This window comes from Homo sapiens, chromosome 7 (genome assembly GCF_000001405.40).
Source record: "Homo sapiens chromosome 7, GRCh38.p14 Primary Assembly".
In the NCBI taxonomy this organism is placed as follows: Eukaryota; Metazoa; Chordata; class Mammalia; order Primates; family Hominidae; genus Homo; species Homo sapiens.
The window spans coordinates 136,894,114-136,915,475 of NC_000007.14; the positions used below are offsets into that span (position 1 = coordinate 136,894,114).

General features: G+C 33.9%; 1 protein-coding gene, 1 long non-coding RNA gene and 1 other non-coding gene across 12 annotated transcripts in view; 2 read left to right on the forward strand and 1 right to left on the reverse strand.

The window, feature by feature from the left end:
- CHRM2 (cholinergic receptor muscarinic 2) overlaps positions 1 to 21,362 on the forward strand; it is a 151,562-nt gene that overhangs the window by 25,462 nt on the left and 104,738 nt on the right. The gene's annotated exons all lie outside the window — the stretch shown is intronic.
- LOC349160 (uncharacterized) overlaps positions 4,660 to 21,362 on the reverse strand; it is a 265,569-nt gene continuing 248,866 nt past the window's right edge. The window contains exons 3-4 of the long non-coding RNA NR_046103.1: positions 7,737 to 7,888; positions 4,660 to 5,704 (exon numbers count right to left, since the gene is read on the reverse strand). This is a non-coding gene — a long non-coding RNA (uncharacterized LOC349160). The remainder of the gene's footprint in view (positions 5,705 to 7,736; positions 7,889 to 21,362) is intronic.
- Positions 9,054 to 9,181, forward strand: MIR490 (microRNA 490). The gene has a single exon (NR_030165.1). It is a non-coding gene; the product is annotated as a microRNA 490 (primary transcript).

Sequence of the window (21,362 nt, forward strand, 5' to 3'; positions counted from 1 at the left end):
TGCATATTAATCATCATATAAAATCATAGGAGATTGTAAAGTACTTTAGAATGATAAAAACAGAAGCGTCTGATCTCAAAATGTCCTCTCAGACCACTCTATGCACAAATGAGAAATCATCACTATCATAATGGATATATAAAGGGTAACATATGAACAAAACCGATCCCAAATTCTACATAGAAAATATAATCTTAGTTATCATTTTGAAGAAAATATGGCAAATTGTCACTTTATAATTTCTAGAATGCTAGATCTATTTTTAGATTTTTTTTGAGACAGGAGTCTCGCTTTGTTACCCAGGCTGGACTGCAGTGGTGCGATCTCGGCTCACTGCAACTTCTGCCTCCCAGGTTCAAGCAATTCTCCTGCCTCAGCCTCCCGAGTAGGTGAGATTACAGACACATGCCACCACGCCTGACTAATTTTTGTATTTTTAGTGGAGACGGGGTTTCGCCATGTTGGCCAGGCTGGTCTCGAACTCCTGACCTCAGGTGATCCACCCGCCTCGGCCTCCCAAAGTGCTGGGATTACAGGTGTGAGCCACCATGCCCAGCCTCTATTTTAAACATTTTTAAAGTCTACATACATTTATTTTTCAATCAGAAAAAAATGTTCTTAATGGTTTTTAAAAATATAAATAATATGTATACTATTAAATTTTGTAAGTGTCCAACACTTAGCTATGGCCATCCATCCATCCCCAGGAATTCACAAAAAATAGTATTTCTTCAGCAGGTCCTGATTGCCATTGTTGTCAGGTAGGGACATAAAATTAACAAACCGAGGCTATCATTGAATAGGCCTTATGTTTGCACTTCAGCTTGCTTAAGAGGTTTTTTTGTTTGTTTCTTGTTTCTTTCCCCCGAGTCAGCATTCTACAACTCTACAGTATTTTGGAGTACCTATGCATCTCTTTGCATGCTGGAGTTAGAAAATTTTTCTAGGGTTAACAAAGAAAATGTGGCAGAATATTTTATCTGTATGAATTCAAATAGTCTTTAAAATAATAAAATATTTTTAATGCTTTATAGTTATACAAAGTATTTTCATAATATTAGTCTTTCTTTAATCTGTGTAGAAATACAAAACTGTGTGCTTCAGATAAGTCTCATTTCCAATTTGATAACATTTATGTGTGTCCTATAATGTATAATTTGAGTATGTATAAGGAGAATCTATGTCCTAACAACTTTGTAGAACCCTCTTAAAATAAAATGTAATTTGAAATCCTCAGGTTTTAGCAATTCAGTTACCCAATTTTTCTTCTCAAAATATGTTTGGGGCTATAGCGGTTTTCCTAAATTTCATTCCCATCTCTCCATTAGCCCAGAAGTTATATTTAACAGGTAGGACTGATAGGCAAGTTCTATGAACCTTTTTTGGTGTTTCTGCTCTTTTGGCCATGCTGTTTCTATGACTCAGTTTATATTTCTTAGCATGGTTTATCCAAAACTAAATGTATTAATTCATTAGTAGCAACCAATTGGGATTTCAGTCTTAGCTTATCCATCTCCTCTCTCTTTTTTGGTTGCAATGGCAAGATTTACAGCATTTAAACTTTCTTGCTACTAAACCCTCCTCACCCTACTCCTCGCTTCTAAAATGATTCTTTTGGCCAATCGCTTTGTTGTCAGTATAGTTACCATCATAGAAAATAAGGATTTGATTTCAGAAAGTTTAGAAATACAAAGCTCGGCTTCTAGGTATGTAAAATTTGATGCTTCAGACCATCAGCAAGATCAATGAATTTGATACATTGATCATCTCCTCTGCCTGGGAGCTTGGGATATATTTGGTGTGTGCTGGATTGGGGAGACCTTCTAAACACATTTCTGTGTTCGTGTTTTTGAATATACTATTTACGTTAAATATTTTAAGCTTCTAGTAGTCAAGGGCTTCGGTAGTGTTATACAGACTTGTTTTTAAATTTTATTTGCATATAATGCAAAAAGGAAATGAAAGCATTTGAACAATGTGAACAATTGCCTTTACTTTTTTTTCTAAAAGAAAATAATAACAATAGTAGACTTGTTCAGAGAGAGCATCCCATTCATCTGCGCTCCAGTCTCCTCATCTGAAAATGAGGGGGTAGGAGTAGATAACCTTTGAAAAATCTTTGAGATGAAGTTCATCAGAGGCATTTGGAAAGTCAGTATCAGTTTTCTGTTACAAAGAAAAGCCCTGTCCCACAAATTTCTGATTTCTCAATGGACTGTGAAAGGTTAGAGTAAATACTGTTTTCCTGAATTCCCAGGGGTCTAGAACAGCATTAAACGAAATCTTCCAGTGTATCTGGGGCGACATTGTTTTCCTCGCTCTGAAGGATTTTTTCTAGGTGGAATGTAGTAATCTCCAGCTGGATGATCATTGACTAAATTGTAAGCCCATTCAACCCAGAGAGAAATAAGCCTCCAGTGCTTTTGGATATAGTAATTCTACCTTGCATTGTGTGTGTGTGTGTGTTTTCATATGTGCACTCATATTTGTGTATTCAGAGTGAGTCTAACTAAAAATGAAACATCTTTCATGACCCTAAATAACACCTTTAGGATCACGCAATCTCAGCTGAGGCTAAAGAATCACAAGAAGCGAGAATATGATGTGTTTGCCAAATTAAAGTAGTTGATCATGACTCAACTAGAGAAAGATAGGGGAAGGGTGGTGGAGATGTGGCTGCAGGCATTGGCAATGACATATTCTTGAAAGCCTTGGACACTACTTTAACAAAGTTGAGGTTAGGAAAGTGAAACGTCATTAAAGAGCTCATCAAAACAGAGATATGATTGATTTGTTTTTCTCTAAAATGACACTGCTTGAAGTATTTAAAATTATCTGGAAAGAGGGAAGACTGAAAAGAAGGAGTCACGGTGAGTAACTGAGGTACAAGGTGATGGCTTCCAAAGTTAATGTCAGTGTGGTAGGCAAGGAGGGGATGGAGTAGATAAATATTAAAGAGCAGAATGTATTGGTCTGGTTGGTTGAATATGTGTGGTGGTGGTGGTAGTAGGTTGGCCAAAAAAAAAAAAAAAAGAAGACATAGAGAGAAGTTAGGTTTCCAGGGTAGGCACTTAGGCAGATGGAAATGGTACAGGTGTCATGAGAGGGATGATTAGTTTTATTGTGAACATTTGTGTTTGAGGAAGCCAATGCATATCTAAGAGGAGAATCAGGGTAAGCTATTGGAGATGCAAGTCTTATTAGAGAGATCTGCACTAAAAATATTCATTTAGAAGTTATCAGTATATTAATCACAACTTGCTATTGCATATATACATTTAAAAATAAACGGTTTATTTTCAACTCACACTTGTTCCCATCACAATAGTTCTCATGCTGTATCCTTTTGGAAGGTAAAAGTCCCTAGTGACAAACAGATGCAGATTTGCAATATATGAGCTCCTGAAAGCAGCATTAATCATTTTTCTTAATTGAAAATAGTTTATCTTTTATTAATTTCCCTGCTTCTTGTTTTCTGCCTTTGCTTTTTGAATACCATAGGTGTAACTCAGAGTATAGTTAAAGGGTGGTGGATTGCACCATTATTCGAGCCATTTTTAGCAAGCATTAACAACAGTCATGGGAAAAAAAAAAGACAGACATGGATTTTGTGGTATTTCATAGGGAGAGCTCATATTTGCATGTCTGCATATCTTCATTTTCGCTTTTGTGTAAGTCTAATCATTATTTCTTTTCATTTTTTGTTCATAATTTACAACTCTCAATGTGATTTTTAGCCGTTTCTTAAAAAAACAAAAATGCTGACTGAAAGAAAATAAAATTCTAAATGTCATCTCTATCCAAATCAACATCTAATCTCTATGCCCATTTCTGTAGTGTAATCACAAAGATCAGCTTACACTGAGATACACATTGCTCTGTTAAACACTTTGAGATTGCTCCTGATATCAGTAATGGCCACACAGTGATGGCAATATGTACCTCCCAAGTAATCTCACTTCTGGTTATTAGAAACTTTAGCTGAAGAGTTGAAAATGAATTTAACAGAAAAACAGAGGGTTCGTTTACAATTAGCATTGCAAATTATAAAATAGTTTTATGTATTTCTCATAGTCCATATACATGGTTTTTGAAATGCTTATCTGATAAGCTCATGTTAGCCTTATGTACTTTGGGAATGAAAAACAAAAACTTATCAGTTGTTAAACAATCTTATTGTAGGGTTAAATCTAGAAACTACTCTTAATCTGATCATAGGCTATGCCCAATGACAAGCACTAAATACAACTAGCAGAAGAAATTGTTTAGGCTGGAGCAATAACCCATTTTTTGGTACATGGAATTTATCATTCATACAGGTGATTACTGCACATTGTTAAGTCTCTAAGACTGTGAATTGACTATTCAATTGCATGCCTGTGTGTATGTGTGTTTGCATGTGTGTGTGTGTGTGTGTGTGTCTGTGTGTGTTTAACAGATTATGCAGAGACCTGATTTGGCTCTGTGAGAGAGAATGACACTAATAGTTCTAGTGATGAATTCACTTACAAGGTTAGAGAAAGAAGTTGCTGACCAGAAAGGACAAGCCATATTCTGGTATATAGTAAATAGAAAGTAGGGTAAAAGATTTACTCAATGTACACTGAGTGAAGTTGATCACGAAAGTAAACAAATGATGCTATAATGGCCACACAAAGTAGTATATCAAAAGAGTAAAATAAACACTATTTTTTATTTGTTGAAGAAAACAAGCACTATCAAGATGGATGAAATAGTGAGAGATTTCAAGGAGTTTTAAATCTGGTTTCTAACATAAGATCATACTTACAACACTGACCAAAGAATAGACTATACTAAAGACTTAATCTGTTAATTTATATAGGAAGCAAATTTTAGGTGCTGTAAATTGAGTTGGTTGATGTATGGTTTATGATGACTTTGTAGTGGTAGACAAATTCAAAGTGTTACAGTTATTCTTCGGAAACTTACCCCAAAGGAATATTACATACTTTTAAATTTCAAAATATTGATTATGTTCCCAGTAATCTCCCATACATTACAATCATGTAATTTTAATACTAAGCTAGTGGGAAAGTCCCTTGCTCTAAAATAAAATGAACACTTTTATTTTGGAAGTGTTCTTGTAGATATGTTGCAGTAATTTATTATTCAAAAAGGGCTCTTTCTGTCTGGAAATTTCATCATTTGGCAAACTAAAAATGATCCCACATTGGGTACCCTGAGAGATCTTCCTGTTATAGCACTGACCACAAGTGAATGCTCATCCAAGTAAAAATGTGAATAATTGGTTTTTCTCCTAAGAAAAATTTGAGTTTTCATACAGGAGCTATCAGATAATTCTTACTAGTTTGCATGATTTCCATCTATTAGCCAAATGAGATAAACAATATGAAAAATTTTCTAAGGTATGTCACAACTTTGCACATCTGTTGGCTAAGAAGTATGATGTTTAAGTGTAATTCATGTCACATAGAGTCAGAAAATATGTAATTCAATCAAAATTAAGGAAGTAAGGAGGCATTAATAGAAGATACAGGAGGACTATTCCACTACTCTCTTTAGAAACAATGTAGCAGAAATATACAGAGAATATTAAATCCTGCATACTCCTTCCTAATGTGTTCATGTGTATTATAAAATATAGGATGTAGTAATCCATGTCTTGCTTTACAGTGTAGAACTCAATGACTTGTTTTTGAGAAAATCAGGATCTTCTTCAGAGCTAATATTTGGGAGGAAAGATATAAACAGGAGTTATGGGCTAGGTGATAAACCATAGATATGAATACACTTCATAGTTTAAAAAGCTTGTTTCATGCAAATACCTCTAGCAAATCCCTGGGGAAAAATCAATATTGAAAATTATCTAGAATAATCATCTTCTCTAAACAAGAGTTCTTAGTTTTTCTCATTGCTATTATTTTTCTTTTTAATTTACTGGGAGGCATTGAAGACTGTATAAATAAGTAAAAACAAACTCACATACCTAGTGAGCCATGGTTTTGTTTGCATGAATTAAAAGGAGAAATGAAATTCCGTCAGAACAAAAGACAGGCTTATTTCTGATACTATCATCACCACCAACAGCAGGTGATACATTCCCCAACCCTTGGCTCTGAGTCAGAGAGCAGCCCAATGTGGACACTGAAGATACTAGTGAAAGGAAACAAAGACCCTTAAACAGTTCCTAGGACTAACCTAAATGTTTTGCAGCCAAGTTAACTATTTTTTTTAATATTATACTACATTACTAGACTTAGCCATAGGGAGAAGTAAAACCAGACTGATTTTGCCCTGTTAGTAATTTTGAGCAGGAGGCTGCGTTGAAAACTAACAGAATGGAGCCTTAGCTTGGAGCAGCAGCATCTGATGGATTTGATCACAGGCTTACTTCAGTTTGGTTCTCCCAGAAACAAGGCTCACTTCTACTTGTGAAGTGCGAGGAGCCATCTAGGAAGGAGGGGATGTGAAAAGGGAAGAAGAGGCTGCCAGTAAAAAGGTTTCTATTAAGCTGGGCATCTCAGAGGAGACTGGAGCTTACACACATGAGGCATTCTAAGAAATGGCACAGAATTGCTCGTCTCATAATTATCTTGCCAACTGCTAAACAATCTTTTTTTTAAAAAAAGAATTGTTATTTAAAGCCTGCTCCTAGAGGCTGTAAACACCCGAGGCATTTTTGGTTTTCCGTATGTGCAGGGTGAGCAGAGTGGCCTTCCTAGGTTTCTGAAAAAGCCCCCAGACACAGAGAAGCAGACAGTGGCATATAGACGTCAGCAGGGGAACACTGAAAGATCTGAATGATATGGGTAGGGTACCAAGAATGTGAGCTACACACCTCTATTCATAACAGAATTTTGAGCTCCAATCAAGGCATGGATATATTCTTATTTATAAATTACATAGAAATAATTTTTCCATGATTATGTATATCATAGTACATACACAAAAAACCTCTTTTAGAGAATGATATAACAGTAATTGAGAACGGAGTTTCTAATACTTTCTTCCTGCAAGCCAGTAGATTGTCCTGTACAGCCCGGGGAGTGTGGGCACCCCCAAAGTGGAAACGAGTGCCCTGGGAAAGGAAAAATTCCATTTCCAAGATCCAGGCATGTGAGAATTACGTGAAATTAAATATGTGGACTTGCGGTTTTTGGTTCTTGGAAAAATAGAAAGGTATAGTGGGTTGCATGCAGTTCTAGCTGCATTCCAGCTAGAAACAGATTGAGACAGTTCAGATTCACAGGCACTTGCAGGGCAAGTTTTCAATGTCACTGTGGCTTTACCACGTAGGCAAATTTGAAAATAGACACACTAAATATTGACTACAGGAAAAGAAAAATGTGTATTTATTCATACAAAACACATTTATTTAGCATCTATAATGTGCTGTGCCCTGACCTATAGTGACCCAAACAGATTAGCAGATCTCACCCGATCTTGTAGTGCAGTGATTTGAATAGCAATGATCTTTGGACCCTAAGCAACCCAGTTTGGCCATTCCCTGATGTCATTTTTTTCCCCCATTTCCATTGTTATTTTTTGAGAACATACAGACGCTTTTTGATCCATTTGTTGTAAGAACCTAGCCTCTTGATCAGTTGCATTTACAAAATAACAACATTGATAATTTCATAAATGTGTAAGATTTACAGCTTACAAAGAACTTGCACACACATCTCATGCATAACTCACAAAACCTCTTAATTCTTTCCCAATAATACAGGGGAATCATGGACTCAGGGGCTGACCTCCAAAGACGCTGTTGGTGGTAAATTGTTAGAGCCCCGAGATGTGACTTAAATTTAGGTTTTCTGACAGAGGTGTGCTGCTCGTCTCTATGCTAATCCATTACACAGCCAGACAGGAAGAACTGTCAGTAGATTCTGATCAATTTCTCTTTCTATAAAAAAAAATGATAAGCTTAGTTAAATTGTATTAGATAAGTGAAGGGTTGTTTATAACAGTCCAGCCTCCCCTTAGCTTCTTCTATGGCTTTCATTAGGCTCCATCAAAGCCTACTCTCAAAACAAAATATAAAAATAATTGTTAACTACTAACATTGATTCTGTGATCTTCCTTTTAAACTCATCTATCTATCTATCGATCTATCTATCCATCCATCCATCCATCCATCCATCCATCCATCCATCCATCTATCCACCTAGCTATCCTTCTATGTTTGCAGTCAGTTGCTAGTTATTAAGATAATCAGAATTGCTTTCAGAATTAATAATTGGTATAAATTTCAGAAGAGTTTGAATTTAGGTGGCAAATTCATAATAAGTGAGAAGGTAAGCTATAGCATCCTCTGATAATGTGTGCAGTTTACTTTTTATCTGTCTCTTTCTAATTGAAAACTAACAAATATAGCCCCAATTAAATGCACGTAAAAATTAGAAGCTGGTGGGATAGGGTATTAAACACAATCCTAGATGACTCTTATGAACTCATACCATAAGCAGCCACTTTCTTTCTCGAGCAAACTATAGTGAGAATGAAGCATCTTAGATTGAGAAGGGATTAGGACGACCCTGAATGGAATGGGCAAATCATAAACAGCTAGGCCCTTAGAATTTGGTTGCAGTCCCAAACCCAGGTCAGTTTTTAAACATGACTATCAGCTAGATATCCTTTCTCCACCATACAATAATAGATAACAACCTTAATAAGACGTGTAGACATTAAACTTTGAAATTCCACAGTAAGATGTAAATATTTGCTCAATCAAGTACAATTTAATATGTTTGTTATACAGCAACTGCAGAGCACAGAATTTTGTACTCTTTGGATGTTTATGATAAGGTACACATTATTTGCAAGTTTTTGCTTGTTTCCTTGTTCAGTTTTTCATTATCAAACAAACAAAGCTTCTCAGCCTGGGATTAACCTGGAGTCTGGAAAGTATACATTATGGCCAGCAACTTTAAACAATAGGCCAGAGATGGGAAATGAATGAATGAAATTCTGACACAGAAGACAAACAACAGAAACTCATTTGGGCTAGTGTAGGTGTAGGTTTTTTATTCTTCAACCAACGGTGGTGAAGAGGATCTCCCTTCACTTTATGGAGGCCTTGCTGGTTTGGAAAGTTCATTGTTCGACACCATGGATCTCCAGGTGGGTCAAGTTTAGAGATGCACCAACCTGGAGGACTCCATGCTGTTGAGCTGTTCACAAGCAGCGGACACTTCCAACTCCATCTTCCCAAGAACTAAATGGGTGTCTTCTATAGTGTATGTGCAAATCTCCTTCAAAAGGAAGTCTTACTCTTCCTGCTTTCAAAAATGGGAACAAAATTCACACCTCAGCATCCAAGTATTTGTTATTTTTGTGGATATTGTTAGAGCTGGTGTCACAATGTAAACTACTAGGATGAAAATAAGTATTAAAAGATTTCTCTTTTAAAAAGCTGATTAGAAATGATAGAAGTATAAGTAAAATATTTGTTTGTGAATTTTAATTATGTACAGAATGAATTTTAGTAACAGGCAAATCTAGCATTTAAGACTGCAATTTTCTAAAATTTAAATTTATTGGATTTCTAAAGTTGGTGTATCAGCATATTATTCTTAAATAATACGCCTTCTGTTTTACAATATTTCTCATTTTTATTTATATCTTTAATTGGCTAAATGTTTTATAATGTTAATTAATAATGCTGAAACAGTCATTCTTGTGATGTTTTAATAACTCTACTAGTGTTTTAACAGTAATATGGCCTTGGGGTTTGGTTTAAAGTAGGTGTTGTACATGATATTAAGGAGATGACCTTTATCAAATGTTTTATTTTTCTTGTATTGGAATTATCATATATATATATTTTCTTATTCAGACTATGTGAAGTGACATGTTATTTGTTTTCCTGATACTAATACATTTCTAAATCCAATGGCTTTAATTGTCATGATATGTTACTCTTTTAATGTACTATTGAATTCCATTTGCTACCATTTTACTAAAGCATTTTGCATCTACATTTGCAAGTGAAACTGAGTTAAAAGTTTGTTTTTTTAATTTTTGAGTTATCTTTGGCTGAAATTTATTTCATAATCACTTGATTATATAAAACCAATTGGTAGCTTCCCCTTCATCCTTATACTGTTGAAAATTTTACATAGAACGATGATCAATTCTCTAAATGTTTGAATGGCCCTTCCTGGAAAACTTCTGGTAAAAAGCTCAAATCATTTTTTACAACAGTTTTAAAAATTATTATAACATTTTTCTAAGTCACTTGCCTATTCACATTTTCTATATCTCTACTCATTAATTTTGTTAAATTATAGATGGCTACCATTATCTATTTAAGAAAAATGCTTGTAGTATTTATCAAATAATTGTGCATATGATTCTGTTAAAATAATTATTCTCCAAATTTATCTTTCCTTTCTTTTTCCCAATATTAAATGTTTTTCTCATGCTTTTTTGCCAGAGTTTTGTGGCTTTTGATTTTTATAATTTATTACTTATCTTACTTTTGTAGTTACTTCTTTTTAATTCTGTAGAGGTTTTTGTTTCCCTTTTTAAAATAATTTCTTGAGTTTAAAGCTTAGTTTCTTCTGCATTATAAAATTTTGATACTTCTTCTTTAATATTGGGAACATTTATAGCTATGAATTTGTTTCTGACAACTGCTTTAGTCTCATCTAAATGTTTAAAATATAGCCTGGTTAACATTAAGGGAGCACAGGCTTGCTGCTTTTCAGTCTTTTGGCTAAGACCAGGTGAAAAAGAGCACGGGTTTAGAATCAAGGAGCTTAGGTTTGAATTCTGACAGTTTCACACATGTTGTGAGAGGGACTTTAACTCACTACACTTCTGTATTTGTAATTTAGAGTGAGTATATTTACATTATAGTGCTTTGTAAGATTAAATGAGATATGTTTATAAGTGTACAGTACTGTGATGATAGCAAAATCAAATGTTCAACACAAATATTAATATTGGTTGAAAATTATAGTTTGGGTTGTTCTTTTTTGTATAATAATTTTAATTTTTAAAATCTGAAGTGCTAGATGTTTGTTGCTTTTGTTGTTATTTCAAATTGTCTTACAAATTTCTAATTTTATTGCATTTTGCCCCAATAATATGGTCTTAGAATGTCTATATTTTGGGAATTTTCTAAGCTTTTCAGTTTTTGAGTTGTTTGGATAACTGAAGATCATTTTCTTTGTTGAAAAGGGCCAAGATATACACACACATGCACACAAAATGCACTCGTTTTTTATTTGTATTTATTTCCCATATTCATTATATTATTCATTTATTTTTGTTCTTATTTTTTAAAATAAATCTACCTGATTTGTAGCTGTATTTGCATTTTTTGCACCTATCATGTTTGAATCAAATTCTGTTGGTTTTTAAACATATTTTGAATTTTATACATAACTAAACTATTTTTCTCTGTTCTGTTCAGTACACTTTGCTTGTAATTCTAGTTTATCTGAAACTAATATGGCTGCTTCCTATTTCTTCTGTTTTAGTTTGCCTAAAAGAATTTGTCATCATTTTAAACTATCTGTGCCATTTTATTCAGATCAATCCCCTTTAAGTATTTTATAATTAGAATTTATTTATTTATTTATTTTGATCTTCCAGTCTCTGCTTTTAAATTGGTAGTTTAATTCTCTCATATTTTCTCTTCTCTTTTTTTGTGGTTTTATTATTTTTACTTCCCTTATGTTTCAATATTTTCTCCCACATATTTTTCAACTTTCTCAAAATATTGATTGCGAGAGTATCTATCAATACATATTTTTAAATTTAATTGCTTCTTAGTTTTACTTTGAAAAACTGTATTTTATCATTCCATGTTTTTCTGGAAATTATCAAAGCCAAGACCAAAATGTTATTTTTTTTTCAAATTAGCATTTGTTTATTTCACACTCATTTTCAGATCTTTGGTAATATTATGTAGAGTCTTAGTGTCAAATTACTACTATTTAAAAAATTTTGTTACGTATAATTTTTTTATATATGTAACAAAATTTACAATATGTATGTATATATGTGTGTGTATATATACACACGTTTTGTGTGTATATATGTATACATATATACATATATACTCACATATGGTTTGTATGTATATACGTATATATATATACGCACACATATATATGGTTTGTATGTATGTACATATTATACATATATATGTGTGATTAAATAATTAAAAATATTGGAATAAAAACAAATGTGTGTGTATGTATGTGTGCGCACACATATACATGGTTTGTATATATATGCATATGTTATACATATATGTATGTATTATATTTATATATGTATGTATTATACATATGTAATATGTGTTTGTGTGTGTATGTGTATATGTATACATTTGGTTTTTATTCCACACATTTGGTTTTTTTAAACCACACATTTGGTTTTTATTCCAATATTTTAAATCATTTGCCTTATACTGTAGAATTATTACTTTGCTAACTTTTGTTTCAGTGATTTATATGAGTCCTTATATAGCAGGATATATTTGTAATTTTTTTTCTAATTCAGTTTCTTGAACAATTATTTAATACTAGTTTTGTTTTAATAAACTTAATATTTTGAGCGAATGCATATCTAGGTATATATTTCCATTGCCTTCACATATGAAGGTCAGTGGTCACTTTAAGGTCAGTGGTCCCCAACCTTTTTGGCCACCAGAGACCAGTTTCCCGGAAGATAATTTTTCTAGAAACCGGGGTTGGGGATGGATGGTTTTGGGAAGATTCAACGGCATTACATTTATTGTGCCCTTTTTTTTAATATTACATTGTAATATATAATGAAATAACTATAAAACTCACCATAATGCAGAATCAGTGGGAGCCCTGAGCTTCTTTTCCCGCAACTAGATGGCCCCATCTGGGGGTGATGGGAGACAGTGACAGGTCATCAGGCATTAGATTTTCATAAGGAGCACACAACCTAGATCTCTCACATATGCAGCTCGCAATAGGGTTTGTGCTTCTATGATAATCTAATGCCGCTGCTGATCTAACAGGAGGTGAAGCTCAGGCAGTAATGCAAGTGATGGGCAGTGGCTGTAAATACAGATGAAGCTTCGCTTGCTGTCACTCACCTACTGCTCTGTGGCCTGTTTCCTAACAGGCCATAAACCAGTATTGGTCTGTGGCCTGGGGTTGAAGACCCCTGCTTTAGATGACTACAAAAATCTTGAATTCAAAACTTTCTGTACTTCAAGACTGTAAGTGTGTATTAGCCAGTTCATAAAAGTGAAGGCACGAACAACAGTTGCTTGACCTTCTCTCTGGCCATGAACTGGGATGGTTCGTCTTGATGGAAGCTGAGAACTCATCACTCAACTGAATGGATGTTTGTGAGAAATAGTCTAAGCTCTTCACTTTCTCACTCAGATTATCAAGAAGCACCAAATCAGGAATGTTCTAGTTAGTTCAAGTGATATTTTTTATTTCCAAATTTCTTCTTGAATCTCCAAATTTTTCATATCTAGGAATCATGAAATTGAAAGTGCCCCATTGTGCCTCTCTCTTGAGCCTAGGGGCAGCTTATGTAATATGCTTCTGTTTTGTACACTGTCTCAGCCAAACATACTTACAAAATAGGCATTACCAGGTCAAAGAATAAAAAGAAGTTTCAACAAAAAAAATCTTATTCCTGTATTTTCTCAAGTTTTGCAAAACTTTCTTTGCAACCCATTAAGTTCTCTCTCCCCAGACTACGAAGGTGCCAACGGAGATTCAAGAAAGGGAGAGTAGAACTCACCACGCTCTCTGATCCAGAGCAGGGGATATTCCGTCTCCTACCTCGTTTTGTTTCTATGACCAGTATCATTCTGCCTTTCCAAAGTGATGCTTCTCCATTCCTCCCTAAGGAATAATGGCTTGACTTCTTTGGAGATGTCATGAAAGATTTGCAAAGAAATAAGTTGAATTTATACTTCAAGTATGACTATCAATTTATTGATGGGAAGTGGAAAAAAGAGCCTTCTAAGCATAGAGAATAATAAAAATCATACCCATTACATGTTTAAGGACTTAGTATGCCTGAAATTCTAAGCCCTTTCTAGTTGCTAACTTATTTAAACCTCAAAAGAGCTGTATGAGATTACAGTTTTAGATCATCCTTCTATCTTGTACGTCCAGCAGAACAGTTTTACGTCATCCTTCTTAAGTAAAATGAGTCTTTAGTAATTTGCTCAAGGTTAAACATCTAAGAAATGAATAGTTACGAGGCTCTTATTCTTAACTACTGTGCAATACCACCTCAATACTTTAGCATTAGCATGTTTGGACTGAAGACTCAGTAAGACAGGGCATAAGTAATTGTGTTTACTCATAAACAAATTTATAGTTAGATTACATTATTGCAATACCTCTCTGTTAATTGGATTTTTAAATATAGACTGTGGTGAAGATTTGATCAGCCTATAAAGTAGAAAACTGAAGCCGTTGGCTGACACAGGTGAGGCCACTTTTCTTTATACATTAGGTAGAATCGAGCATTCTCATACTCACTGAATAATTTTATCTCTTCTCTTCCCTCTGACAGCCAATGACTAAGTTTTGAATGATCAGGTATTACTCCTCATTCAAAATGAGCAAGTCCATTCTGATTTTCAAAGCCAAATTTCTGACGGAATTAATTTATCTATAAATTTTAGTTATTTTGTTGATGAGTATCCTGCAAAAGCAAAAAAATCTATTTTCACGATCTACAAGTTTCCCCCATGTCAGTGAAGGAAAGAGATGAAATAAGTATTAGAGAATAGACTTGTAGACCCAAAGCTAAATCGACATCTCTAAAATATGGGTGATATTGCCTTACTACGCACAGAATTTGAAATGCCTAGTCAATCACTAATATTGGCATTGAGTGACAGGGAGATTTTTACATTCCTTTGAATTATGAGTTTTTTGTTTTGTTTTCTCAATGAGTTGACGAGTCTTTGCTGTGATTTTATGCTTTCTGTTTTTGTGTGCTAGTTATGTGATAATATGTTTCATATGCTGATCAGTCAGGGACATACATGAATCCCACTGGAATTTCATCTCATTGACATGGGAATTATTCTGGGCTCAATAATTGCTTCCAACTCTTATTATTATTTTGTTCTCATGATGGATATTTGTGAGAAATATTTGTGATAAACAAAAAGGAGAAGATAATACATGTACTCACAATCTTGTACTCACAGACAATCTTGTTCTCTGACACATACATGGCACATAGAGTTATATTTATCAAAGCATGTGCTCTTGCATTTTTGGAGAGATGGTAACAGACGATAGTATTTACTGATTACCATATGCCAGGTCTAAGGCTGTTAAAGGGTTACTTTATTTAACCTTCATTACAACTTCATGAGTTAGGTAATAATTTTATGTTCACTTTGTAGATGAGGACACTAAGGCAAAAAGAGTTCAGATAACTATCTCAGGTTGTCACAGCATATGAATATTGGTCCTAGGATTTTAATGCAAAAATTCAGCTGCAGATGTCAGGTTTATTATTATGCCAAACTATGTCCCAAGAAGACGTGCTGTATGTATATATGTACATGCATACACATACACACATATATGCATACTGTCATGCACTTCAAGCATGTTTATATAGAGTCTTATATGCAAACCTACCTAACCATACACCTTTAGATGCACTTCCTTCTTCAATTTACATGTACATGTATACTTATTTCTTATATAACTAACACAAATTTATATAAATATGCATAAAAATACATTTGTAGCAGACCACTTTTTGTCAGAGAAGGATTGATTTTAAGATACTAAAATCATCTCGTACTAGTTCATTTGCAGAGTATAACAAACAATGGGTGAAAAAGTGTTATTGGTTGGATACATTTTTCCTCCATGATAAAACTGTACATACACATACACCCCCCCCAACACACACACACACCAAACGCTGTTTAGTAACTGAGTGAGTAGTGGCAAATGTGATTTTTAGCCAAGGTGAGGGGTTGGGCTGGAGCTAGGGCCAGGGAGGCAGGTAATTAGGGAAGAGAGTAAAGACAACATTGTATTTGGATAATTTAGGCAATTCAAGCAGACAAAAAGATGCCTGTTTAATCACCTTATATTTAATATTTAATGCATTGCCAGGTTCCTGATATATAAAGTGTTATTACTTGATAAACTCTCGGCTGATATTAATTACCTACTATTTGATTAGCATAGTAAACATACAGTACACATATTAATTCTTTTAGTAACATTCTATGTCTACATGACCCTAGTGTTTCCTTATTTTCAGGGAGTTTGAATTGAAGCCAAGTCATTATTGTAGCAATAAGATGGGTTCTCTGACAGGATTTTGAATAATCTTTCAGAACTTTAAGGCCCTTATATGAAAGCACCAAATGCTTTATTGGCTCAGCTACTACACCTGTCACCTTTGTAAGATGTGAAGACTGCAGATCTCTTTTCATCACTGAGATTCACAGAATAAAGTTTTCCATATTTATTAAGGGAGGACATAAAAAGGAACATGATTGAAGGTGTGTACACACTTGTGCACAGCTAAACCTGCCATCATTCTTTCCTCTCCCACCTTTCACCAGCATGTTGTCTTTGAAAACTGAAATCTGGCTTTTTAAAATCGTTGTTGCTACTTTTCTGTTTTGTTAGTGATGAGTAGTTTCTAACTCCTGACTGTATCATTCTTGGGGTTTGGTGTGGTTATTTAAAATTAAGTGTGTGTGTGTGTGTGTGTGTGTGTGTGTGAGAGAGAGAGAGAAACTTGGTGCCAAATGAAATCATTCAAATTATAGTCACTCAGTTGTCATTCCAAATGGTGTATTTTAAATTTCGTTGTTGCTTCATATTTTATATGTCCCCATATACAAATTCTATTGCTAAGAAGTGGAGCTGACATTTCATGTTTTTTGTCACTTACAGAGAAAACTAGCTATTTCTGATCTCTTCCACTCAAATAGGCTTAGTTTAAGAGAAGAAACAGAACCAACAGCCTTACTGTATAATGATCCTAAGTTATTCATTTAGTGAGTAATTTTTTTTATTCAGCAAACTAAGAGTTGGGTTTCAGCAATGATATGGATAAAAAATAATGTTTTATCACTTCATACAAATAATACCATAACTGAACATGTATTAATAATATCTAGTAATGTATCCAGTAAAATATTATCTTAGATTGATAACATCTTAATCATAGCACCAAAAAGAACAAGAAAAATGCAAAGATAACATTTATATAGTGTTTTCTGTGTATTAAGTACTTGGATAAGTATTTGACAAATCTAACCACTCTATAAATTAAATGCCATTATGTTTCTCAATTTACATTTGAGGAAACTAAGGATCAGAATACATATTTAGTAACCTGCCCAGTGTCATACAACTAGTTTCTGGCAGGGCTGGGACTCAAAGCCATGCTTCTCACCAGCATGCTCGGCTGACTAATGTATTTGGAACCTTGGGCTGTATCTTCACGTACATACTGGGTTGGAAGAAGGAGCCACCAAGTGGCAATGACTGCACTTGGTGACGAGAGAACTCAGCAACTAGTCACAATCTAGGTCATTAAAATGTCCTTTAAATGTCTCCGTTTAATCCATTTTTCCGTTTTCAAACCTGTTTACATGTCGAATTTTCTTGTCTCTTTTATGTAGGATTTGTAATTCAGGTAAATCTGAGTTTTTCTTATTTCTTTTCTCCTTCATACAATGATATTTTTATAAATGTGGATTACGACAAGGCTTAAGGCAGCTTATTAGATATTGTGTGTAAAGGAGGATCTGCTTTTTCCATCGATTCCATTGAATTCTCACACTATCATCCATAAAATTCTTCCATTTTTTACATATTATAACCATATTTAAAAAGTTATTTCTATGGATAATACTTTCAAAAAATAAATTAAGAATAATGGGCTAATGGTGATTTCTCATTTTCTTTATAACAATTTTTATTACAATTTTGTCTTTGCAATAAAAAGGTGATTAAAAGACAGGTCTTAATTTTTATATCTTCATATGGTTGTCTTTTTATAGGATTTTTTTTAATATCATAAAGATAATTGAAAGTTTCTAACCCCTTCTCTTTCAATAGCATTGTGGCTCTCTTTGAGCAAGATATGCTTAAATATTTACTTCTAAATATTGGGTGCTGTCAAAGAAAAAATAATCACTGGAATTTGACTTTTTTCAGCCTTCTACAAATAGTCAATTTAACAAATATTTATTGAGTACCTATCATGAGTTATCTTAAATTATCTGCTGTGGTTCCAACAGAATGCCCAAAAGAATGTCCTCTTGCTGATCCATGTATATCATAGCAAGAACAAAAATATTTCTTTGAGAGAGAGAAAGATAAATCCCACTTCCTGTCCTGAGAAAACTCAGACCCTGTGCCCTCTTCCTGTCCTTTCACTGCAGTCTCTTCATCACACTTAACAGTACCGTCACTCTATTTGGTGGGAACAAGTCGTCAGGACATGTAAAAGGCCTCCTCTTTCTTATCTTATCAATGGGTAGCAGAGCCACCGTTTGAACCCAGAACTTCCAGCTCTTGATATTGCTTCTTAGGTGGTAAAAACCTTACCACCTAAAGTGCTATTATTTTTGATGAACAATAAGACTGGAGCCTAAGACATCCTATAGATATTAATTACAAAAAGATAATTAAAACAGATAAATGTTTACCATTCCTAACACAAAGCTGCTATTTGATTTTAAATAAACAAATAACAACATACACAGCATTAATGTATCTAAGCCTTAGTTTCATCCTCTATGAAACGCGGTAATGATACACATCTCATAGGGTTGTTATACCAACTAAGTGAGATAATCTGGTGAAGAGTTGACTGTGATGCTTGGCACATAACCCTCAGTAAGTGTTATTATGTTAGTATAATTACTGTTTTAATTTAGCCCATCACTATTATGTAGAAAAGACAGAAAGAAAACCTAGAATACAAGTGGAAAACTGATTTTTATATGTTATTTCATAGTAAATAAATTTATAACTACTGCATTTATAATACATTAAGCTCCTGACAAACTGTATAACAATTGAGTATTAAATACCTATCCAAATGCTTTCATAATATAAAACAGATTATTCCATTAATTTACATAATAAATGCCTTTGAGCATCTTCTTTGTGGCTGGCATTATTCTGATTGAAAGATTTGAAATAAAAATAAAATAAATAATGGATTAGCCTATCTATTATTCAAGGTGGCAAAATACCAGCTTTCTATTTCCACAGGAAGGAGTTATTTAAAAGAATCCATTTTCAGAAACAAAAATTCCTTGGGAACCTAACAGAAGTAATCTGTCAGTTTCTAGAGGAGATCTCTATAACACATTCCTCTAGTTTTGAGGAGATATTTCTTCTCAGCTTACATCCACAGCAAATATATCTGAACTGTTTCTCTCAAAGATTGTAGATGTGTAATAAGGTAACTTTGCCAATACCTTTGACCTAATAACCAATACCTAATCACCAAAATAACCAAAACCTAATCACCAAAATAACCAAAACCTAGTAATTTTTTTTGAGACGAAGTCTCACTCTGTTGCCCTAATAACTTATGAACTACCATTTCTGAGTGCCTACTAACTGCTTATCACTTCAATGACATTTGCTTTTTGAAACAATGCTGTGAAGTGGGTATTATTTTAAAAAATTATAAAGCTGAAGCCCAGAGAAATGATCAAAGGTGTAGATGGACATATCTGGGATTCTGACTATAACCATCCTTCTTTTTCCATTAGAGTTTACTACCCCCACTTCTGGCTTATTTCTCAAAACTCATTTTCAAATGCAGCACTATATCTATTCGGATTGACAGTACATTGTGCCAAGAACAGTGCCTTACCCATTTGGTTATTTATTAAGTGTCAGTTTAATGTATCGGATGAAAAATCTTGATCTTATTTCAAAAGATTCATAAACACTACCTTGAAACCCAACTTTAACTTCTTTTCTCTCCTGCCTAACTCAATCTCCTATCTCGCATCAGGATTCCAAAAATACACATGTGATTGCTTACCTCCGCTTCCTTTTATTTCATTTTATTATTGTTTCAATTGTTAGTCTCCTTTCCCAGTCTGTGCAATTTTTCTCAATTGATTACGCAATCACTGAAGTGGCAACCTCAAACTCATCTAGTCTCCAGGTGATTGCAAATGGTTCATAAAACAGCATCTAAAGAAAGGTTATCTTTGAAAGAAAAACAATTACAATTTTCATTCTTTATTGCATATGATAGTGGTTAGTAAAATAATAAGCACTGTCAGCCTGCCTATTTCAGAGAAGCAGAGCAGAGCTCTTTGGAAAGTACTATAAGGCATTCACATTGGGTATCCACCTGGGAATGGCTTCACTTTTCTCACTTCTGAATAGAATCATGCAGGAGCATCATAACCTGCACCTGGAGCAGCCCATGATGGAGTCAGAATATGTCCCTTTAAAATAAGGCAGTATTATATAGGAGAAAATAAGGCAGTATTATATCAGAGAAACTAAGGCAGTATTATATCAGAGAAAAAATGTTACGTTTTCTGATTCAAGTGCCACCTTGATGATATGTTGGATAGTTCTAAAAAGCAATACAATTTTTTTGAGCCTCAGCTTTCTCATTTATAAAATAGGGATGTTAATCAAACCTACCTTATCTCCCATATTGAACCATTCAAGGGGAATAGCTGAGATAATGCAAATGACAGGTTTTGGTAAATTGTAAATTACATACAAATGTTTGTTATTATAATGAAGTAGACTCTGCTGAGTGAATGGCAAATTAACTCTTAAATACTTTTAGTTTCATAAGAAGGGCATTGGTTCTTTTAGATTATTGCTGATTTCTAACAAAAAGAATTGTGATCCTACAGTGCTAGTGAACTAGAGAGAGGGGATAATGCACTCAACAAAGTGTCAGCCCTATATGAAGAGTATGACATGTAGGAGTTTTAGATTATGACTTTTAGGAGTTAGCATCATTAATGAATTACAGGCTTCTACTGTAATGCTGACATCATTCTGGTTAAGAAATGTACTTCAGGATTAAAGGGATATATTTAGGAAGAGAAATGTGTAGCTACGGCAAGTCTCATTTTGATACTTAAGGGAAAGGCAACTATTAGGGGAAATGATTTAGTAAAGTTAAATAATTTTCTTAAAGTTATAAAGTACAGTCTTACATTATCAATCTTGGGTTCAACTGAACTAATTAATTAAGGCTGTGCATGCACACCATCAGATTGTTACTGCATAATTTACTCACTGAGAAAAGTCTATTTAATTTCCAATTCCTGAGACTATAATGAATCATTGATGTGACTAATTTACCTTCCTTGAATTGACTGATAGGTTTTAATTGAAGTGATCAGTAATGTG